This window comes from Homo sapiens, chromosome 3 (assembly GCF_000001405.40).
Source record: "Homo sapiens chromosome 3, GRCh38.p14 Primary Assembly".
In the NCBI taxonomy this organism is placed as follows: Eukaryota; Metazoa; Chordata; class Mammalia; order Primates; family Hominidae; genus Homo; species Homo sapiens.
Genome location: NC_000003.12, coordinates 67,240,358 through 67,265,537, shown reverse-complemented (window position 1 = coordinate 67,265,537; position 25,180 = coordinate 67,240,358). Strand labels below are relative to the sequence as shown.

General features: G+C 39.5%; 1 long non-coding RNA gene across 1 annotated transcript; it reads left to right on the top strand.

Moving 5' to 3' along the window:
• On the top strand, positions 1,026-24,831 carry LOC112267879 (uncharacterized). Its single transcript, XR_002959676.2, has 2 exons — positions 1,026-6,257; positions 23,719-24,831. It is a non-coding gene; the product is annotated as an uncharacterized LOC112267879 (long non-coding RNA).

The following is a 25,180-nucleotide window of genomic DNA, read 5'->3' as shown; positions in this document are numbered from 1 at the left end:
TGACAAATGGGATCTCATTAAACTAAAGAGCTTCTGCACAGCAAAAGAAACTACCATCAGAGTGAACAGGCAACCTACAGAATGGGAGAAAATTTTCACAGCCTACTCATCTGACAAAGGGCTAATATCCAGAATCTACAATGAACTCAAACAAATTTACAAGAAAAAAACAAACAACCCCATCAAAAAGTGGGCGAAGGACATGAACAGACACTTCTCAAAAGAAGACATTTATGCAGCCAAAAGACACATGAAAAAATGCTCATCATCACTGGCCATCAGAGAAATGCAACTCAAAACCACAATGAGATACCATCTCACACCAGTTAGAATGGCAATCATTAAAAAGTCAGGAAACAACAGGTGCTGGAGAGGATGTGGAGAAATAGGAACACTTTGACACTGTTGGTGGGACTGTAAACTAGTTCAACCCTTGTGGAAGTCAGTGTGGCGATTCCTCAGGGATCTAGAACTAGAAATACCATTTGACCCAGCCATCCCATTACTGGGTATATACCCAAAGGACTATAAATCATGCTGCTATAAAGACACATGCACACGTATGTTTATTGTGGCACTATTCACAATAGCAAAGACTTGGAACCAACCCAAATGTCCAACAATGATAGACTGGATTAAGAAAATGTAGCACATATACACCATGGAATACTATGCAGCCATAAAAAATGATGAGTTCATGTCCTTTGTAGGGACATGGATGAAATTGGAAATCATCATTCTCAGTAAACTATCGCAAGAACAAAAAACCAAACACCGCATATTCTCACTCGTAGGTGGGAATTGAACAATGAGAACACATGGACACAGGAAGGGGAACATCACACTCTAGGGACTGTTGTGGGGTGGGGGGAAGGGGGAGGGATAGCATTAGGAGATACACCTAATGCTAAATGACGAGTTAATGGGTGCAGCACACCAGCATGGCACATGTATACATATGTAACTAACCTGCACATTGTGCACATGTACCCTAAAACTTAAAGTATAATAATAATAAGAAAAGAAAAGAAAAGAAAAGAAAGCTTAGTGGTTTTTCAAGGAGGAAAGATGAGCATCATCCTTCACCACTTGCTTGTTCACTGAGCAGTCAGACTCACTGCCTACCTTTGAGTTCCCAATGTGGGGGAAAAGGCATTGCTGAATAGATTGATGGTATGACCCTAAAATGGATCCAATCTATGCCCATAGTGAAACAGCTTCGTTGTCTGGACAAGCACCGGAGATTCACTGTCTCATGGCCATGGAGAACAAGGACACGGACACAAAAAGAGTGAGGTTAAGAGTGGTTTAAAGAAAGATAATAGCTCTCTACTGCAGAGAGGGGTCCTGGAGAAATGAGTTGCTGGACCCATGGTGAAATGCAGGGCATTTTATAGATGAGCTGATGGGGAGGCAGTGCCTGATTTACATAGGGTGCGAAAAACTGGTTGGACCAGGTGTGTTTGCATAGGGCAGGAATCTCTGGCTGCCCCTACCCCAGTCTTTTATTATGCAGGCAGGTTCTCTGTCTGAGCTGTGTCATGATGCCCATGTATCTATTACTGTACACGTGGTAACAAAAAAAGGGAAGACCAAGCCTCCATGTTGGACATGCCTGGCCCCAGACAGCCCTTTTCTATTGGCGCTTCTTCCAGCATTCCCCCATGCAAGCATCTTGCTTCCTTATTTATGTTTGCAGCTGAATTTTTCAGGCTGTTCAGTCAGAAAAGTAATAATTTGGGGGGCTGCTTTTGGTTAGAAGGAAAAAATCCACTGAGGACACTTTTGCCCTCACTATCTGCCTAAATAATTCATTTCTACCTCCTATATCAATAGGGCACGAGAACTGGGGTGGAGAGAAATGATAAGAGTTAGGGCCTCAGGTTTGTGTGAGACCCATCTAGGTATGAAGCAAATGGGCTGGAGTCAAGGTGATGTGGCTCAGTGCTACCAGCAGGAACATGGGAGCAAATCCGTTGAGAAGTAATTGATACTAGGGAAGCTGGTTGGGATGGAGCTTCTCACCTGGTTTGTCTTTTCGGGGGTCTGCAAAAGCCTACAACTGTAGACCATGAGCTATCAACTTTCATGACAAAGAAAAATAAAAGAGCCACATAGTCAATGTTACACAGGGTAGTTCACACAAGGAAGTGGCCATTACCACCCATAAAGAGAACAGCCAGTGCATCATGGTGCTGTGATCTAAGGACATAGAACACATTACTTTTTCCTCCCTCCCTGTTGAAGGAAGAGGAGCAAGAGCAGGGTTTGGGATAGAAGATGAGGTGTTGGCACACATACCCCCTTCCCTCTGTGCTGCTGGTTCCATAAATCTAGTCTGTGCAGAGTAAGGGAGAAGAAAAACCTGTTTGGGCTGAGTGTGAAATTGAAGATGGGCAAAACTAAGACTTGACCAAAATAAGACTGGTTTAATAACCAATAATGACTGAAAAGTCATGGGATTGAAATGAGATATATTAAAAGAGCTTGCTCTATAGTGATAAAGATGAGCTTTGACAACACCACACAGATACCATCAGGTAAGGAAAAATAAAACCCTTCCATTTTATACCTCAGTTGAGATTGTAATCAAACAGGCCCCATATAATAATAACTCACATTGGTATAGTGCCTTGTAGTTTAAAAATGCTTTTATACCCTTTTCCTCCATTGATGCTTTTAGTAACCCAAGAGGTGTATAGGACAAATATTATTATCTCACTCTAGATGACAAAACTAAGGTTTCAAGCGATGAAGAGACTTATTCAAAGCTATCTGGTCAGTAAGTGGCTTAACCACTACCCATGTCCAGGTTGCCAGAGTTGGCAGAGTGCAGATGATGCACTGAGAAAACATTAGAATTTAGATAAATCATGAAGGTAAAGGAAATAGTGGATTTAAAGGAAATTTTGCAAATAGATAAAGAATGAAGTAACAAATGAAAGTGTTTCTCATAATGGGATCTTTGTTCTACATGCATTCAAATCCTGGGTATAAATGTATTAAAAATGCACATTTTAAGGATACACCTCCAGACCTCTTGAATCAGAATTTCAGGGAGCAGAGCATAATATCCCACATTCTTAACAAACTCCTCCAGTAATTCTTACTCATTTGAGTGGTTAAGAGTCACTAATGCTAAGCCTTCAAGTTTCTTCAGCTCTTTACTTTCTTAGCTCTTCCTGAGAACAGAGAAGAGTATTCTAATAATACTTTACAAAAGGTATCTCTTTAAATCCTCATAACTATCCAAAGAGGTAGATGCTATTATCCTCATTTTAAAGCTCGGAAAACTGAGGCATAGAGATTTAGGTTAGGTCACCCAGCAAAGTCACAAAGCTAGTAGGCAGAATAGCTGGGATTCAAACCCAGTCCTGTTGGATTCATAAGCCTACAAGTTTACTTCTAGACTCTACTGTTTTGTCCATGTTCTGAATTATTGTTGCCTGAGTGTTCTAAGTCCATTGAATTTAGTAAAAGGTGTTGTTGTCTCCTGTCCAAAAAAAATCAGACATATGCTAGAGTCAGGCAATTTAACTGAAGTTAGATAAGCTCATTTTTCCATCCTACACGAGGCATCAAAAGATTGCTTTTAAAGTATGTTGTTTAAACACTGATTTAGCTCTCAGTAATTTATTAATATATTAATATCTCTTTTTTTCAATTTTATTCTCAGAGGAAGCAGCCAAGTTTTCTCTTAGGGCATGTTTGGTGTAAGGATATGGAGAATAGGAGTGTTAATGGGTTGTCCATTTTTCCTTGAGACAGTGCTCTGAGAATGTTCATATTGAAAGCTGGAGAAGGGGATGGGGCAGGAGGAGATAAAAGAGCCCATTCAGAGCTTTGTCTCATCTTTCTTCTGAAATATCCATTCAGCAAAAATCCTCTTAGAGTCGTACTTTCTTCCCCACCACAGCCTGACTGCAGAATCTTGTCCCTTAGTGTCTGTGCCACTGATTCATCCTTATAGATTTCAATATCCCCTTGAAGCCATCTTGCAGACTACAGTCCCGCTTTCTGGACTATATAGAGGATCCTTTCCAAGGTACCACTGTAAATGGGGTTTAATATGGGGATCTAGTCACAGAGGTGTTGGAGGAGCTGAGAGTGAATAGGGAAAGGTAAGCCACCTCAGAGTTTAACAATGGTAACAGGGTGCTATTACTGCTAGAACTGGGGGGACCAAGAGAACAGGCACATTATCAGTGCCCAGGAGTTAGGGATGCTTGGAGGGAGATGAAACCTGGGAGGAGGAGCTGGCCCAGGGACCATGTATCTTGGACTGTCAGGCAAAAGCTGGAATCCTGGGAGTGTAGCTACTCAGTGGGAACTGGAGCTAAAGGAGAGGCTGTCCAGAGAAAATGAGGAACACAGAGGAAGTGTATATCCAGTAGGAGCTGGGAACATGCAGGGAATGCAGCTGCAGACAAGATGCTATCTGAAAGGGAGAGAGAGGAACAGTAATATCCTGGCTGCTCCTTTCTTTCTGCCCTCCACTTTTCCAACATCACCTCCCATTGGTTGAACCTGGTTAGCCACTAGTTTGCAAAGGAGGCTGGGAATTATGGTTTTTGGAATTTCACTTTCTATGAACAGAGATAAGAAATGGATCCTAGAATGACCATCCTTGAACATGATCCACACAGATGTTAAAGGAAAATGACATCTGAGTGACATTGCAATTATTATAGCTTACAAACAGGGACCACAAAGTCTAGAAACACAGAAGAATATATACAATATGTGGTTTATTAATATTACATTATAATACATACATGTACAGTGACATTAAAGGATACATTCAATATTTTGACTTTCATTAGTAGTACATGGTTTAATGCACTGTGAAAATTGCTTCAGTAATGGTAGACTAATGGATTTCCATCCATCTCTGCACAAGCATCTGAGATCTCCTCTAATTTTGTCCTCTGTCTGCCATAATTTGTATCTTTAGCATTACCAAAAGAATTGTGTTCAATCTGTTAAAAAAATCCATGTTTCTATCAGTTTCATATATATTAATTTATTTAAATAACTAATGTCAAACATTAAATTCCGTCTCCAATTTATTCCAGAGAGAAGATCTGAACTAAACTGTGGCAACCTGAACTTCCATTTTCACATGCCCAATTTTATGACAAAACCCTGAGGCCCTAGTAGTCAGTATGGACTGAAGAAATAAATCAGATATAGACCCCATCATGTGCCACAACTCATTTCAAAATGGCATCTTGTATAGTGAAAATCTGGGAATGCTATCCACTTGGCACTTAAATTTCTGGAGGATCACAATTTGAACAGAGAAGAGGACTTGAAGTTTATTCCTTACTGATCCAAGAAGCAAGAAATGTAGGCAGGGTATTAGGTCAAAAGTTAATCTCAGAATTTTCAGAGACCATGCATGATGGACAAGGCCTATGTACTATTGTCTCCTCTACATTCCTAACAAAATGATTAGTCTTAACACCCACTTAGCTGTCCAAGCTGTAAATCTCAGGCTTCCTCCAAGTCCTGTAAATTCTACTTCTTAGGTTATTTTCTTTCAATCTAGTTTGTCTTGCTCATTCCCATGAACACTGCATTATTTCAAATCCACATCTACTCGTGCCTTGTTCACTGCAGTAACTTCCTAATTGGCCTCCCATTTCAACATGTTCGCTCATTCAATAAATCATCCAGTATTTCCATATGGTAGCTAGAGTGACATTTCTAAAATACCGATCTAATCAAGTGATCCCTTGGCTAAGAACTATAGTGGTCCCTTTTTCTATTGAATTAAGTCCATTAAGACTTTCCATTGAACACAGAAAAAATCATAAACTCTTTAGCAAAACATACAAGACTCTTCATAATCTGACTCCAGTCTAATTTTGAAGTCCCTCTCCAGCAATTTTTCTATACTTAAGCTTTTTTGTAATTCTAAAGAAAAGAATCTTATTTCAATTTGTTCAGGTGTGGATATAACAAAAAATTCTCAGAGACCTGTTTTAGTTGTTAGTGCTATTTGTCAAGTATTTCTGGTTCTTTGCCTTCCTAGTACATAGTGGGACTGTACTTCTCTTTTTTTGGTAGGGCTGAGTGACTATTTCCAGCCAGTGAGTTTTGATGGTAGCTTCCAAGCTGGAGCATTAAATTGCTAATGCAAGACTCTCTGGAGCCCTTTTCCTCTGCCACAATGTGTGACAGTGTTCAGCATTGTGACTACTCTATCAGCCTCCTTTCCAGACTAAGAAGACTTGGAGTAAAGACCCAAGATGGTAGGTGGTGTATTAGTCTGTTCTCACGTTCCTAATAAAGACATACCTGAGACTGGGTAATTTATAAAGAAAAAGAGGTTTAATGGACTCACACTTCCACATGGCTGGGGAGGCCTCACAATCATGGCAGAAGGTGAAGACGTAGCAAAGGCATGTTTTACACGGCAGCAGGCAAGCGAGAGCTTGTGCAGGGGAACTCCCATTTATACAACCTTCAGATCTCATGAGACTTATTTACTACCACAAGGACAGTATGGGAGAAACCACTCCCATGATTCTATTATCTCCACCTGGCCCCTCCCATGACATGTGGGGATTATTACAATTCAAGGTGAGATTTGGGTAGGGACATAGCAGGTGGCATACATGAGAAGTAAACCTTTTTTCTTACAAGCTGCAAGCTTCTGAGATTTGGGGTTAGTTCCCCACCCCCCAGTTTTATTGAGGTATAATTGACACATACAAATTGCATATATTTAGGGTATACAACACGATGTTTTGATATGTGTCTACATAGAAAAATGGTTACCACAATCAAGTTAACTTACCCATCATCTCACTGTTACTGTGTGGTGTGTGTGTATGTGTGTGTGTGTGTGTGTGTGTGTGTGTGTGGTGTGAACACTTGAGATCTACTCTCTTAGCAGATTCCACGTATACAATACATGATTATTAACTATAGTCACCATGCTTTATATTAGGTGTCCTATCTTATAACTAAATATTTGTGCCCTTTGACCGGTATCCTCCCTTTCTTCCCCATCCCTCAGCCTGTTCTATACTCTGTTACTGAGGTCAGTGTTGTTTCAGATTTCACATATTTCACATATAAGTGAGATCATGCAGTATTTGTCTTTCTGTGTCTGGCTTATTTCACTTAGCCGAATGTCCTTCAGGCTCATCCATGTTATTGCAAATGGCAAGATTTTCTTCTTTTTAAAAGCTTTTAAAAATATGTAATAATATTCCAATACACACACACACACATACATACATGCAAACACACACACACACACACACACACACACACACACATCTCTCTTACATTTTCTTTATCCAATCATCTTCCAATAGACACTTAGGTTGATCCCATATCTTGGCTATTATGAGTAATGCTGCAATGAACATGACAGTGCAGGTATCTCTTCAAAATAATGATTTTATTTCCTTTGAATATACCTAGAACTGAGATTGCTGGATCATATAGTAGTTCTATTTTTAATTTTTTGAGGAAGCTCCATACTGTTTTCCATAATGACTATATCAATTTACATTTCCACCAACAGTATACAGATTCCCTTTTCTCTACATCCTCACTAACACTTCTGACTTTTTTTAATAGCCATCCTAACAGGTATGAGGTAATATCCCATTGTGGTTTTGATTTGCATTTCCCTGATGATTAGTGATGTTGAGTATCTTTTCATATACCTGTTGGCCATTTGTATGTCTTCTTTTGAAAAAAATGTCTATTCAGGTCCTTTTCCCATTTTTTAATCAGTTTATTATTATAATTGATATTGAGTTGTATTAGTTACTTATATATATTTTATTTTAACCCCTTACCAGATATATAGTTGACAAATATTTTCTCCCATTTTATAGGTTGTTTTTTTATTTTGTTGGTTCTTTCCTTTGCTGTGCAGAAACTTTTCAGTTTGATGTAGTCCTACTTGTTTAATTTTACTTTTGTTACCTGTCTTTTGGTATCAAATTCCAATGGCATTTTTCACAGAAATAGAAAAACACTCTCAAACTCATTTGGAACTATCAAAAACTCCAGTAGCTAAAGCAATATTGATTAAGAAGAACAAAGGTGGAGGTATCACACTTCCTGATTTCAAGCTATATTCCAAAGCTGTAGTATTTAAAACAGTATGGTGCTGGCATAAAACAGACACACAGACAATTGGGACAGAATAGTAAACTCAGAAATAAACTCAAACATATACAGTCAACTAATTTTTGACAAAGGTGCCAAAAATACACAATAGAGATCAGACAGACTCTTCAATAAATTATGTTGGGATAATTCAATATTTCCATGCAAAAAAAAATGAAATTGGACCCTTCTTTTATACCATACACAAAAATTACTTCAAAATAGACTACAGACTTAAATGTAAGACATGAAACCAAAAAACTCCTAAAAGAAAACATAGAAGAAAACCACTTTGACATTGGCATTAGTGGTTACTATAGTGCAGGGGTTGCTAAACTTTTTCTCAAAAGGGCTTTGAAGGCCATATAGGGGTCTGATATCCTCCTCGTCCTTCTACACCTCCTCCACCTCCTGCTCCTCCTTTGCTATGGCTCTTAAAACTGTATAAACAAATCTTAGTTTAAAACTGCACTTGATAATCTGAAAGGCCACAGTTTACCATCTCCTGCTGTAATATAGCCTAGTGTATTTTGACTATTATGACATTAAAAGTCAGGAAACAAATTACAGGTGGTGTATTAGTCTGTTTTCATACTGCTATAAAGAACTACCTGAGACTGGATAATAAAGAAAAGAGGTTTAATTTACCCACAATTCCACATGGCTGGGGAGACCTCAGGAACTTACAATCATGGTAGAAGGCAAAGGGGAAGCAAGGCACGTCTTACATGGTGGGAGAGAGAGAGAGAAGGGGAAACTTCCACACACTTTAAAACCATCAGATCTCTTTTCTTCCCCCACAAAAAAGAGCATAGCAGTTTTACTTAAGGATTTTTCTTTTTTTAAAAAAATTTTACTTTAAGTTCTGGGATACATGTGCAGAAAGTACGAGTTTGTTACATACGTATACATGTGCCATGGTGGTTTCCTGCACCTATCAACCCATGATCTAGGTTTTAAGCCCTGCATGCATTAAGTATTTGTCCTAATGCTCTCCCTCTCCTTGCCCCCACCCCCTGACAGACCCTGGTGTGTGATGTTCCCCTCCGTGTGTCCATGTGTTCTCTCACTTATGAGTCAGAACATGCAGTGTTTGGTTTTCTGTTCCTGTGGTAGTTTGCTGAGAATGATGGCGTCCAGCTTCATCCATGTCCCTGCAAAGGATATGAACTAATTATTTTTTATTGCTGCATAGTATTCCATGGTGTATATGTGTCGCATTTTCTTTATCCAGTCTATTATTGATGGGCATTTGGGTTGGTTCCAAGTCTTTGCTATTGTAAATAGTGCTGCAATAAACATATGTGTGCATGTCTCTTTATAGTAGAATAATTTATAATCCTTTGGGTATATACCCAGTAATGGGATTGCTGGGTCAAATGGTATTTCTTGTTCTAGATACTTGAAGCATTACCACACCGTCTTACAATGGTTGAACTAATTTACTCTCCCACCAACAGTGTAAAAGCATTCCTATTTCTGCACATCCTCTCCAGTGTCTGTTGTTTCCTGACTTTTTAATGATTGCCATTCTAACACATAAGATGGTATCTCATTGTGGTTTTGATTTGCATTTCTCTAATGACCAGTGATGATGAGTTTTTTTTTTTTGTACATTTATTGGGTGCATAAATGTCTTCTTTTGAGAAGTGTCTGTTCATATCCTTTGCCCACTTTTTGATGCGGTTGTTTTTTCTTGTAAATTTGTTTAAGTTCCTTGTAGATTCTGGATGTTAGACCTTTGTCAGATGGGTAGCTTGCAAAAATTTTCTCACATTCTGTATGTTGCCTGATCACTCTGATGATAGTTTATTTTGCTGTGCTGAGGCTCTTTAGTTTGATTAGTCCCCATTTGTCTATTTTGGCTTTTGTTGCAATTGCTTTTGGTGTTTTAGTCATGAAGTCTTTGTCCATGCCTATGTCCTGAATGGTATTGTGTAGGTTTTCTTCTAGAGTTTTTATGGTTTTGGGTTTTACATTTAAGTCTCTAATCCATCTTGAGTTAATTTTTGTATAAGGTGTAAGAAAGGGGTCCAGTTTCAGTCTTCTGCATATGGCTAGCTAGTTCACCCAGCACCATCTATTAAATAGACAATTATTTCCCCATTGCTTATTTTTGTCTGGTTTGTCAAAGATCAGATGGTTGTAAATGTGTGGTGTTATTTCTGAGGGCTATGTTCTGTTCCATTGACCTACATCTCTGTTTTGGTACCAGTACCATGCTGTTTTGGTTACTGTAGCCTTGTAGTATAGTTTGAAGTCAGGTAGCATGATGCCTCCAGCTTTGTTCTTTTGGCTTAGGATTGTCTTGGCAATGAGGGCTCTTTTTTGGCTCCATATGAACTTTAAAGTGGATTTTTCCAATTCTGTGAAGAAAGTCATTGGTAGCTTGATGGGGATGGCATTGAATCTATAAATTACCTTGGGCAGTATGGCCATTTTCACAATATTGATTCTTCTTATCCATGAGCATGGAATGTTTTTCCATTTGTTTGTGTCCTCTTTATTTCCTTGAGCAGTGGTTTATAGTTCTGCTTGAAGAGGTTCTTCACATCCCTTGTAAGTTGTATTGCTGAGTATTTTATTTCCTTTGTAGCAATTGTGAATGGGAGTTCACTCATGATTTGGCTCTCTGCTTGTCTATTGTTGGTGTATAGGACTGGTTGTGATTTGTGTACACCAATTTTGTATCCTGAGACTTTGTTGAAGTTGCTTATCACCTTAAGTTTTGGGACTGAGACAATAAACCATCATATCTCTTGAGAACTCACTCACTATCATGAGAACAGCATGGAGGAAACTGTCCCCATGGTCCTATTACCTGCCACCTGGTCCCTCCCTCAACATGTGGTGATTACAATTTGTGATGAAATTTTGGTGGGAACACAGAGCCAAACTACATCATCCCACCCCAGGTCCCTCCCAAATCTCATGTTCTTCTCACATTTCAAAACACAATCATGCCTTCTCAGCAATCCCCCAAAATCTTAACTCATTCCAGCATTAACCCAGAAGTCCAATTCCAAAGTCTCATCTGAGAAAAGGCAAGTTCCTTCCCCCTATGAGCCTGTAAAATCAAAAGCAAGTTAGTTACTTCCTAGATACAATGGGGGTACAGTCATTGGGTAAATGCTTCCTTTTCAAAAAGAAGAAATTGGCCAAAGCAAAGGGGCTAGAAGTCCCATGGAAGTCCAAAACCCTTCAGGGCAGTCATTAAATCTTAAAGCTCCAAAATAAACTCCTTTGACTCCATGTCTCCTATCCATGGCACACTGATGCAAGGGGTGGGCTCCCAAGGCATTGGGCAGCTCTGCCCCTGTAGATCTGAGGGTACAGCCCCCATAGTTGCTTCACAAGCTGGCATTGAGTGCCTGCAACTTTTCCAGGTACAGAGTGCAAGTCATTGGTGGCTCTACCATTCTGGGGTCTGGAGGATGGTGGCCCTCTTCTCACAGCTCCACTAGGCAGTGCCCCAGTGGGGCCTCTGTGTGGGGGCTTCAACCCCACATTTCCCCTCTGCATTGCCCTAAGTAGAGGTTCTCCATGAGGGCTTCACCCCTGCAGCAGACTTATGCCTCTACATCCAGGCATTTCCATACATTCTCTGAAATCTAGGTGGAGGCTCCCAAAGTTCAGCTATTGCCTTCTGTGTACCCACAGACCCTACAACACATGGAAGCTGGCAATGCTTGGGCCTTGCACCCTCTGAAGCAACAGCCTGAGCTATATGTTGGTCCCTTTTAGCCATGGCTGGAGTTGGTCTCTGTCCCAAGGCTGCACAGGACAGCAGTACCTCAGCCCATGAAACCATTTTTTCCTCCCAGGCCTCTGGATCTATGATGGGAGGGGCTGCAGTGAACTCTGAAATGCCCTGGAGACATTTTCCTGATTTTCTCGGCTATTAACATTCAGCTCCTCATTACTTAATGCAAATTTCAGCAGCTGGCTTGAATTTCTCCCCAGAAAATGGGTTTTTCTTTTCGACTGTATGGTCAGGCTACAAATTTTTCAAACTTTTATGTTCTGCTTCCCTTTCAAGCATAAGTTCCAATTTCAGATCATCTCTTTGTGAATGCAGAAAAAGCCAGGTCACATATTGAATGGTTTGCTGCTTGGAAATTTCTTCTGCCAGATACCCTAAGTCATCTCTCTCAAGTTCAAAGTTCCACAGATCTTTAGAGCAGGGCCAAAATGCTGCCAGTCTTTTTGCTAAAGCATAGCAAGAGTGACCTTTGCTCCAGTTCCCAATAAGTTCCTCATCTCCATCTCAGACCATTTCAGCCTGGCACGATCAGCATTTTGGTCAAAACCATTCTGCAAGTCTCTAAGAAGTTACAAACTTTCTCACATCTTCCTGTTTTCTTCTGAGTCCTCCAAATTGTTCCAACTTCTGCCCATTATCCACTTCCAAAGTTGCTTCCACATTTTCAGGTCTCTCTACAGCAATGCCCCACTTCTCTTGGCAGCAATTTTCTGTATTAACCCATTTTCACACTCCTATAAAGAACTACCTGAGACTGGGTAATTTATAAAGAAAAGGGGTTTAATTGACTCACAGTTCCACATGGCTGGGGAGGCTTTAGGAAACTTGCAATCATGGTGGATGGTGAAGGGGAAACAAGGCACGTCTTACCATGGCGGAGCAGGAGAGAGAGAGAGACAGCAGTGGATGAACTGCCAAACACTTTTAAACCATCAGATCCAGATCTCAGGCCAGGTGCGGTGGCTCACTCCTGTAATCCCAGCACTTTGGGAGGCCAAGGTAGGCGGATCATGAGTTCAGGAGATCAAGACCATCCTGGCTAAGACGTTGAAACCCCCTCTCTACTAAAAATACAAAATAAATTAGCCGGGTGTGGTGGCAGGCGCCTGTAGTCCCAGCTACTTGGGAGGCTGAGGCAGGAGAATGGCATGACTCCGGGAGGCAGCAGAGCTTGCAGTGAGTGGAGATCACACCACTGCACTCCAGCCTGGGCAACAGAGCAAGACTCCATCCAAAAGAAAAAGAAAAACAAAAACATCAGATCTCATGAGAACTCACTATCATGAGACCAATATGGGGGAAACCACCTCAATGATCCAATCACCTCCCACCAGATCCCCTTCTCGACACATGGGAATCACTATTTGAGATGAGATTTGGGTGGGGACACAGAGACAAACCATATTATGTGGTTTCTTTTACTGCCACGTTTTTTTTGGTGAGCCTGTTCATTTCCTATTTATCTCTGGGCCCAGTTTTCTCTGCCTTTTGGCCCTGCACATGTCCTAATATAGCCATGACCACATGTAATATGGCTGCCCTTATCTCAACTTTTTAGCTTAAGTACCTCTGGTCTGTTACTTCAGATTCTCTAGAGACAATATGATTGGTTACTTAACAACGAATGGATTGAGTCAGATATTCATCTTTGACCCAATCAGTAATAGTTGAGCAGGTAGTAGGTAAGAAGTATAGCCCCACCCAGCGTCTGCGAATAGGACAAACTCTTCAGATGGGACCAGGAATCAGCAAAGTTTAAAGACTTTTAAAGTGTAGTATCTTAACACTTTGTACATACTCTCTCCAATCCCTTTGTTTTGTACATGATGCACTTGTCTCTGCTCTTCACCTGGCAGCCTCCAATCCATATTTCAAGACTCAGTCTAAATACCACCTCTTCTTCAATGCCATTTATTAACCATGAATATCATCTCATATCTACTGTCCAACTATACACAAAGTTAGTTGCTTCTCCTCTTCAATGCCATTTATTAACCATGAACATCATCTCATGTCTACTGTCCAACTATACACAAAGTTAGTTGCTTCTCCTCTGTAATTCCATAGTACCTTATATAAACATATTTCATTTATATAATGTAATGATCAGATGCCTATCTCTCTTGAAAAGGGGCTCAACTTGAAGGAAGAGACAGTATTACATTCACCATATTGAGAGCTTTTCTTGCTGCTTGGATGCTACCTCCTCGGTCCCTTAGGGACAGTCTCATCATCATTTCTATTATTCTATATTCAGATTTGTCTTTGGCATCCCTATATGAGGTCCTTAGTAACAACAACTGCTACAAAATTAGAGATTCAATGAATTTACGTATTTCTTTAGCAGATCAGAATCTTATTTTTATTAGAAATCGGTTTTTAGAAGTGCAGAAATTGCAAAGTCTATAAGGAACCATGTATAAAACTTAGCCCCCAGAATAAATTTGTAGCCTGAAGGGTAACAGGAGTTAGGTAACTGTTGCTCATAGCCTAAATTCACATGCTGGCTTTTTTTCCTCCAGTGCAGTGCAACCATACAGACGTTTTAGCAAGTTGGGCTATAGCTTCAGTTACCAAATCTCCACCAGCTGGTTTTACTTTAATAAAACATTAAGCTACTGAATATGTCATGCCTTTTTGGTTCCAGCATTTAATATGTATACTGATGTGTGTTGTTCATGGGATATAAAGTAAATAGAGCAATGTATGCAAAATATTTATTTTGAATAATTATGTGGCAACATTTGGATTCTGTAATGTCATTTTTGAAAAACATTCAAGAACATTTTTAGCACATAATGACATTTTAAAAATAGCATTTTTACTATTAAAAGGTCATTGAAAATTGGAAAATGCTAGCGTTTGTGACTGGGAACTCCCTTTTAATTGTTTCAATCAGAAAATAGTCAATGTTGGTTGATGGTTAGCTCATTCTATACACAGATTAGCACATCCTTTCTCTGAGCTCTCAAGTGAGCAGTAAAATGTTCTATTTGAGTGCTCCACTGTTATTTTTTGGGAGGAAAGAAACTTGGATGGTGGTTAGCAGTGGTGTAGAGGCTGAAAGGTAGGGAGTGATAAAGAGAAAATAAATATGGAATAGCCAGGAGGTAGCGGCGGGTAGGAAAAGTAGGGTACACACTGCTGGAGGAGTAAATGAAGAAGGACAAAGCCAGTGTTAGAGGCAAAGGAAACAAGAAGCAGTCCCAAGAGAAAGAATGGAGGCTAAAGGAAAAACAAGCCATATTTACGTAGGAATTGACCGTCACCTACACAATGGACCTCATTGTGTGGCTGTTGGACATTGGGATAAGCCTGAGCTATTACCTGTTGTTCTCATAACAAAGGAACATATAAATTCTGCATTGGGCCAGTCATCCATTTTCCCTATGAGGTCCTTGTGAGAGATACATTCCTAGGAACAATCACTGGTGACTAGATAACTAGATGTCATTTTGGTTGAACCTAAACATCAAACCTGAACCTAAACATCAAACCTAAACATTAAACCTAAACATCAGAGTTGTCAAATGATAGCTTGACCCAGCTGAAGCTTCCTTTCTCCAAAGCCAGTTAGGCTAAATCAGCTTCAGATAAAGCAGGTTGGGAAGATGGCTCTGACTGTCCCTCAACTTCCTACAGTGCTCAAGCCTAAGGCCCTGGTTCCATCACCAGGAAACAAGGGATGTCCAATGTCTACCAACAATGGGACAACAGAGCTAGAACAAGCTGTCCTGGGTTCTCTTCCCAAGCTACCTTACAGGAAGGAAAGACAGCATCTCTAGAGAGAAAGAATAATGTTAGGCCCTTCTGGAACAGCCTTAGGCTCTTGCCATTCCCTGGAGGAGCAAGGAAGAAAGCAAAGATAGGCCGTGCCCACATATGACATGACCTTGATCCCCTCTGAAAGTCCTGACCATCAACGTCCTTAAATTTCAGCAATTCTTCTCTTTATGGGAGTCCAATTTACTTGCTATTGATCCTAGAGAGGTAAGAATCAGGTTAGGGATGAGAAAGGAAGGAAACAGTCTCAACTCCCCCTAGAAACCAGTAGTGCCTCATTTTTAAGTGTTATATAAATATTCTGTGGCCAAAATAAAATGAGGTCTAACAGGTGCAATATTCAGGTCATCCTCGAGTTTTGTAAAGTTTCATTGAACAATATTAATAATTTATGAACTCTTGATCTTTGGATCCAAAGTATTACCAATATTTCAGACTTTGACAGAACTCCTGGATCTGATATGACCATTCTTATTATCTCTGACCCCTTTACCTTCATGATTTTCTTTCTAAATGCTACCTGCCTGCCTGATCACCTTGAAGACCCCCCTGACTCCACTTGGAGGGACCTCACATCTCTAACTCAAGATAAGATTCTTATTGTAAACTTTTAGAGAATTGGCATTTGACTGGCCCACATTTTCTAGTAGAAAAGCTTTTAAATGTTTTCTAAACAACAAAAGAACTATTTACAAGGGACCAATTTAGCAACATTCATTTCCGAAGTCGTTTTCTTTTCATAGGCTGTAAATAAATTTGCAAAATCATGTAGCTTCATGGTAATAACATGACCTGGAAATTACAAGGTAATTAAACTCAAAGCATCTAAGTATAGTACTCCAAGAATAATTTACTTCTGGTGCCAGGAGTCAAGATTTTTTGCTGCTAAGCACTTATGCAAATGAACTAGCACTGAGAGTTTCAAGCTGCCATACCCCAGGAATAATGAGGGTCTGCCTTTGTAGTTGCTGGGTAAAATTGATGACCATGGTGACCACGTGGAATGGAGGCAGTGGTGTTGTAACGATGTTTGGAGATGACTTGTTACAGATGTTTAGTGTGATTTTAAAGCACCTTCCTGGTGGAAGGTTAATACAGGCATCTGAGTGACCTATATAAGTAACTATTGCCCTAAAAGTCAGGGTTGAATCAAACCTGGATGTATTCAAAGGTTTGAAAATGAAGGTGATAGTCTGATGTGTAGCTTGAGTCTTAGTTGGTACTATAGGAAAGGCCTGGAGAGTATTTTTTTCCAAGGTAAAAATAAAAAGTGTTCATATCATACTTTGGACTATCCAATCCCAGTGGGCAAGAACCTGAAGCAAAGCATTCCTCCTAAACCCAAAGGCCAACTGCCTGCTCCAGATCAGCTGGTCAAGAGAACTGTAGTGACTCTTTTGATATAGGCACTATTCTCTTGGACTGTTCGTGTCTTTCTCTCAAGAAGGCTGAAGGGGCTTCTCTTTCTGCTGAAAAGAAAAAAAAAGAGAATACTTAATACCTTTTCATTGTCTGCTCTGGTCTCTTATAAAGACAATAAATAGACATACTCCTTTCCAGCCTACTAAAGGGTTGGTGTTTTCCATGGTGTACTGTGACTTTGTAGTTGAAGTGGCTGTAAATATACTAGGAATAGAGTCAAACGTTGCTGTCTCTTTGGGGCCTCAGGATGGCTGTACTCTCAACCTAAGGTCTCTTCTCTTTTCCAAGTGGTCTCCTCACAGTACTTCTTTCTTCTAAGCTTTGGCTACCTTTTTGCATCTTTCCTCTTCAGGCTTTGGGATAGTAATTGCTCCACTCTTACTCACCTTGGAGAACTACACTATTCCTTGAGGTTTCCCTAAGTCTGCCCCCATCTTTTAAATATCTCCCTCATTTAACCCTCCTTACTAATTTGTAGGGGGGGATTTTTAAGCTAAGTATTTGTTATCGATAACTATTTTAATTATTAAGAGCAGGCGATCTGAGGAATACTAATTCTTTGTGGTTTTTAAAATTTTATTTTCTGTAATTTGTAAGCTAAAATATGGTCCATTTTAATAAAAGATCCATGAATGTTTAAAAACAAGTCATTTTCTGTATATGAAATGCAGGGTTCTACATACATTCATTATATAAAACTTTTACAAAAAATAATAATTGCCAACATTCTATTGAAAATATCCAAATTTGAAGCACTCCCAGAACATAAAAAATTCTCCAATAAAATGCAGTAATGTGTGATTAAAAAATGTAGTCAGCCCCCTAAGTTCCTAAAGAGAAAGAGATGATAAGCTCTGTTGAGTAGAAAATTAAGCCAGTGGACAGATGAATCCTGGACAATCTGTGAAGTTTGCTTACAGGCTCAGTGACTAACTAGTTCACCTGGGTCAGACCCTCAGAACTCCAGAATTCAGAAAAATTGCATATAGCTACATGCCATAGATGTTTGGTGCACTCATGAGTAATCAGACCTGCAAGTGTCCAATCCATGAATATCAAGTGACCTATATCTTGTGAATCTAGTTGCATGTGCCACTGGCCTAGGCACACAGAGCTGTGATAACAGGCACAGTCACAGCTGCTCAAGGACTGGTGTGAATGTACATTTATGGGGCATGGAGATAAGAGTATCTGGCATGTGGACCACAAGTCGCATGCATGCTATGGCTGCAGCAGGCCTACGGGGACAGAACAGATGTGTTTATATAAACCACAGAGAGCAGACAGAGAAAGGTGAACAACTCCCAGGTGTCTACATTTCTAGTTATTTAGGTCTTCACTTTTGAAGGCTGTTGTTGTAAGGCTAGTATCTATTTAAAGAATCAAGCTAGATTAAACTTTTAATTATGTTCAAAGCTTTTATATATTTTTAATAATTTTGTCTGCTTGATTTACTAGTGACTAAAAGAGATATAATCAAACTACCACTCGGATGAGCAATCCCATTATTGGGTATATACCTGAAGGAATATAAATTGTTCTATCATAAAGACATAGCACATGTATGTTCACTGCAGCACTATTCACAATAGCAAAGACATAGAATCCACCTAAATACCCATCAATGGTAGACTGTATAAAGAAAATGTGGTACATATATACCATGGAATACTATGCAGCCATATAAGGAAACAAGATCATATCCTTTGCGGGGACATGGATAGAGCTGGAGGCCATTATCCTTAGCAAATGAACACGGGAACAGAAAACCAAATACCACATGTTATCACTTACAAGTGGGAGCTAAGTGAGAATACATGACAAAGAGAGAGAAACAACACACACTGGGGCCTATCAGAGGATGGAGGGTGGGTGGAGGGAGAGGATCAGGAAAAATAACTAATGGATACTAGGCTTAATACCTGGGTGACAAAACAATCTGTATAACAAGCCCTATGACACAAATTTACCTACATAACAAAGTTGCACATGTACCCATGAACTTAAGAGTTAAAAAATTCATTATGACTGTGTTTGTCAATTTCTGCCTGGAGCCTCTTTTCTTCATCAATATAACTTATCTGTCATGTATCCCATTTCCTGATCTTGGTTTTCCAAAGTGACAGTTACCTTTTCAGTCGACTTACCCTAAAATGTTATTGATTTAAAAGGAATTAATAGGTTGTCTGAATCCACAGGCTATATCTAGAAACACCCTCAACTTACAAACAGGTTCAGTTCTGAAAGATTCTATTCGTAAGTGTAAGAGACCACTAATCCCTTTTGTGGCCATATTTAATGTGCTTTTGGTCTGTTGTGTATCTCTGCTCATATTTATAGCCAATGGCATCAATGAGAGTTCCAGTGTTGAGACTGTAATTAAGGGACCTTCTCAAATTGTATGTCTCCTCCGCTATGAGGAATAGATGAAAGGTATGTTGAGTCCTGGCAGACACATACATGCAAATCTCCATTTAAGAAAGGTGTCCTTGCTTGGCAATGAGAAGTATGGATAGCTGATAGCCCCCAGCTATTATCTCCTTCCAGTCAACTCTAGCTTTTGAGCCAAAGTTGTGCTTTTTCTGGGGTGGCACTGACCAAAAACTGAGCAGCACAGTGGTACAAGGGCTTTCTGCCCAATGCGGGACACCCCTAAAGGGCAATCTGTACTCTGCAGTACCCAACTGAACCACCAGATCTGTGTATTGTCTGAAGGCTCTCCCTACCCAATTCTACTTTCCCCCTCTTCCTTTCACACGTTTTACTTTACAATGCATCTTCTACATTGCTGACTCAGTCTTTGCATCTACTTCCCAGAGGACTCAGCTGATACCGGAACTAACTAAAAATGTCCATTCCAGTCTAATTCTCTTACTTCCTCTCCATGCTGTGTCAGTAATCCTTCTGTAAGATTGAAGATTTTGTTTCAACATTGGAATCAGTTTGTATCTCAACCTGTGAAGTGATGCACCTAATAGATTTGTCAACAGGGTCAAGAAACCGTGGGTTCAGAATACTCGTGCAAACCTTACTCAGTCTCATGGTATTCTCCCTGAGTAAACTCAATAGCAATGAGGCACAAGTGTTATATTACAGATGCCATTGATCTCTTATAAGGTACTGGAAGGAAATGATTCATTGATTCCATTCAGGAATGCCACTCCACATCCCTAGGAGGAGAATCTGTGCAGGGAGAAGCAGATTTTTAATCAGTTTTGATTCCGAATGGGAAGTGTTTGTTTTGAGATCTTGGACTCCATCTATATCTTTACTATTCTTAAAATTGTTATGAATAAAAAAGGAAGATTAGGAAACTGTGTTTGGGTAGAAAAGGAGAGGCAGAGTGAAGTGGTGTTAATTCCAAGGCAAGAGGCACCTGGATTGCTAAGAAGCTTGAAGGAAGAAATGAGGATAACAGCAAAATCTGCCCTTAGATTACCTGCATCATTCATAGGAATGACATCATGTGACCTAAATGCACATAAAGATGTTCTCACCATCCACTTCATAGGAATGTATAGACTTTTAGAATTCTAGCTTCACTCCAGTAGCAATATCCCAACATAATTGTGGATATACCACGAATACACAGGGTAAGTAAATATTATGAGATGGAGGTAAGTGATGTTATCAGGCTAGTGCTGATGGCTTGGTGGGAAACATCCAATATGGCGTTTCTAAAGAGTGGATCAAATATGCCATTCATCACAACCTTTTCCTTTGGTAATGCTCAAATGAAGCTGGCCAGACTCATACCTTTAAGCTATTTTAGTCTCCATGTTAAGCTAGAAACAGCTAGACTGTGATTCCCCCTGATTAGGAGAAAAGTGTGTGTGTGTGTATGGGGGTGGGTGGTGCTGGGGGGGTAGTGATGGTGCTAGTAGCAGAAAGTGAGGAATTCAATAAGCAAGGATTCATTTACCACCTTGGGGTCTCTATTAAGTCTATTAAAGTGATCATAGACTTAATAGTTATTTGGAACCAGTCTCCTTCCCCCACTCTCCATATGTCCTGGAGGTAATTCTAGATGCCCAGGTAGAGAAGTGCCTGAGAAGGGTCAGTGGGTCACCTTGCTGTTATTAATCACTTGCAGAGACTAGTTCCCCAGAGCTCTCTCAGCCCTGACCCAGCATGATCTATAGTATCTTACAGCAACAAGGCATGTGAAGCTTTAGTTCCTCCTTGCACATCTTTCTTCTCCAAATGTCAGCCTCAGAGAACCATCCTGGAGAGAGGAAAAAAACTATGTCTCTTACATTTTCGTCAAAACAAAAGCAACATTTATACGTGCATTTTTAAAAAGAGGATTGCAATACCCCTTTTTTAATTTGGGTAGGTAGGTAGTATATAAAATGGAGATCATGTATAAATAACATTAGGGTATACTTTTATATTTCTCTCCCATACCTCAAAAGATTGTTTAATGAGCCCTTAATTGGCATGTCATTGCTACTTATCTGTCACGACTTATGTATGAGCACTTGCCAAAATGTATTCCCTGGAACCCAAGTCCTTTGAGATGCTCATGAAGAAACAATTTGGTTTCAGTTTGGTCTTGGAATTTGCTGAACACCATCCCTCATTTGTTAAAGGGTCTGAGGAGTCCTGCAGTCAAGACGCCTAGTTAACTTGGTTGAATCTAGTGTTTCCTAACCTTGTTTGATGATGGAATCCTTTGTGCATGTGTGTGTTACATTTATTAATATTCCTAATACTTACTATAGCTGTGTGCTGAGGACATACAGTATAGTGACAAGAGCCTGTGCACTTAGCACTTGGGTTTGAATCTCAGCTATGCCATTTACTGACTATGTGACGTTGGACAAGTTTATTATCCTTTCTCTGCCTCAGGCTTTTCATTTGAAAAATGAGAAGAATAATTCTGCATTAGGGTTGCTGTGAGGTTCAAATGAATCCATATATTTAAAGTGCTTAATAGAATTCTTGTCACCATGAAGTTTCCTGTTATTCTTGTGGCTTTCTGTGTTCATAATCAGAAAAAAAACTTGGGCCTAATAATAGCAATAAATAAGAAGTGAATGTAATTTTACAGTTGACAGATTTTTCTCAAATATGCAAACTTAATCTTCAAATCAATCTTAAAAAGGAGGAATTATTATTGTTACGCTCATATTACAGATTAGGAAAGAAAGGCTAAGAAATTTGGAGTGTGTTTTACAAATGGACAGTAAAGAGGAGGGACAGGAATCAAACATGAGTTTCTTGATGTCGGATCTTGTACCTTTTCTACCAAATAGATTTGGTTTTCCTGTGATTCCAAATTAGAATGTTAAAACTGTTCATTTAGAATAGCTGAGGTCTCCCTTTCCCAAGACATACAGCTTAAATCACTTTAAATAAACTGGATTAAATACACAAGTTAAAAATTAAAGGCATTAGAGCAGGTGAAGTGTAAGAAAAGCAAATAAGATAAGTACTTTCTAAGAGTGATAAAGCTCCTAGCTAGTATTACAGGAGGATGAAGAGCACTTACATGGGATGTACATACAATCATCAGGTTATAAACTGAAAATCAGCACATATAATCTGAGTAAGAATCATTATGCTTCTTTCACATGCAAAAGATAACTCTAGATGTTGACATACTCAATTTCTATGACAGTTTGATAGTTATGGGGACAATGAAACTGAAATCTAGATTTCAGTTGAAAAGAACTGATTGATCCTCATTTAGTATAATTTATGATCTCCTTTAGAGCCATGCAGAATCAAAAATTCAGAGAGATCAAACGTCAGGCACTTAATGTTACCTAGAAAACGTAAACTCTTGTCCTGGAGCTCCTTACACTAGTATGGTGCTATCATTGGTAACTCATATTTGGGTCTCCAATTAATTCTGGGATACCTAGGTGATCTTTGGAACATGCTTAGGGATTGATTTCAGGGGTGCTCTGCCAAACTAGCCTAAATGTTTGTACAACACATTTTTAAAAGGTAGAACTAATGGAGGGTGGGAGTAGAACCATAATTCTATTAATTTGCCTTTTGTCATCTTATAACCAAACGATCTCATCATGGGTTAGATCTGTGGTGGTAAAACATTAACAAAATCAAGTAAAATGCCTGTGTGGAGGTGTGGGCAAGAAAAGGGGAAAAAATTCCTTCTGCCGACATGACAGTGTCCAATGATGTGACACTAGATTGGTCCAATGCCACAAATGAAGAGTCACATGACCCTTTTCCTTTAAGTCACTGTAATTAGATTTTCATGTCCCTTTCCTCCACCCTCCTTCCCACCAAAAAGAAAGTTTGTCTTTCCTTGTGAACTACTTTGCTTCTTTTGATTAAAACATGGGATCTATTTCTTGTTTTGCTTTGCCTGCCAGGGATCTCAGAGCTAAACTTGGTGCCAAATAAGAGTCATGATTGCACACATGTGAAACCTGGTGCTGTTCCTACCCCCTTTGCAGCCATGATTCCTTATATTGATTTCTTTCTATATTAATTTGGATATTTGTGTAATGATACTGATTTGTTTTTTTTTCTGTTGGTAGAAATGAGAGTGAAATGAATGAAGAAAAGACAGATGAAAAGCATAAATATTTTCAACAATGAGAATTGAAAAATTAAAGCTATCTTCTCTTCTTTAGGACTCAATTAACCAGAGCCCTTCTCCTCCAAACATGTCACTTAATGAGACTGTTACTACAATAATTACACTTAAACATAGGCATCGTGAGAAAAATGAAAATTATGTTCAGATGGGGACATGGAAGAATGAGAAGACTGAACCAAATCAATACCTGTTGACTTTTAAGAAACAGAGAAAACAATTAAGGTAACCAATTTGCCAAATAGAGGCACCTTGATACCTTCATCTGAGAGCAACCAAAAAGACAAAGAGAACTGAAAAGTGAATAAAGGGAGAAAGTATCTACATTACACAGGTTCATGTAGAGGGCACTCTCTTAATTACAACTTTCTGAGACATTTCACCTGACTCTCAGGTCTTTGTATTTCCAGTCACTTTTTAAATGTTTTTGTTTTGGTTTTTGTTTTGTCCCCAGAGCACAAGAAAGGAAATCTCTGGGACACCTGAGGAGACATTTCAGAGGAGAAAGAGAATCAATTTCCAAGTAATTTGGAATGGAAGCAAGTCTGGCCGCATTCTTTATCTGGGAGCTCCTCTAAAATCCTCCCACCACCACCAGGGTTTGATGGTTAGGAGACTTAGCAACAGAAAGAGTAAAAAGAGAAAATAAGCAGCGAAGCCTGTGCTTCCATCTCCCCAGGGCATGCCGAAATATTCACTCCTAGTTCTTCTTCAGGTGTCTCCTGATGCCTATGGTTTTGATATTGCTATTTTGTCATCATTGTTTAATTTCGGATCCTGGTTTGCAAACTTGCATCTTTCTGAAGACCAGTAATGATTTCTACGTTTCAACGAGCTATTAAGTGTGTATGTGGGGGGCAAGTGGAATTGCTGCTGAATGCATAAATTGATTTGCACCTACAATTTGCATTTATTCTGTGGGTATATTTGCCACTAATGTTGTGACTGAACTGCCATAATGAAGATTAATTATATAAACATTTTTTGCTGACTTTGTGAGCAGCTGAGTTGGTTGTTTTGCTTGATTTTCCAAGCTTGGTGCTTAAGAGTATGATAGGAAACATTTCTTGGATTTGCTCAGCACCTTCATAGATGACGTGCCCCAGACCAGTCTTATCTAATAAACATTTGTGGTGAGCTTTTCACTGGCTACACTGTTTCTGCTTACTTGATTACAAAAGAAGAAGTAGAAGACCACTCAGTTCTTGGAATTTTGCAAACATTTGAATTTTGGCAGGATTCCCCAGAATAAAATAAGAATTGTGCTTCTTATGTGGGCATGAATTGTACTCTACACAAAAGAAAGGACAATTTGTTCAGTTTTCCTCACTCAACCAATATTGGCCTAGACCTTCCAAACACTTGGAACTGGAGAAGGTTAGGCTCTCAGAGGCTCTATTTTCTTCTTTGTAAAATGGGGACAATTACAGTATCTGCCTCTCTGTGCTTAAGGGACTACTTGCATCAGCATTGCTGAGGTGCATGCTAAAAATGCAATG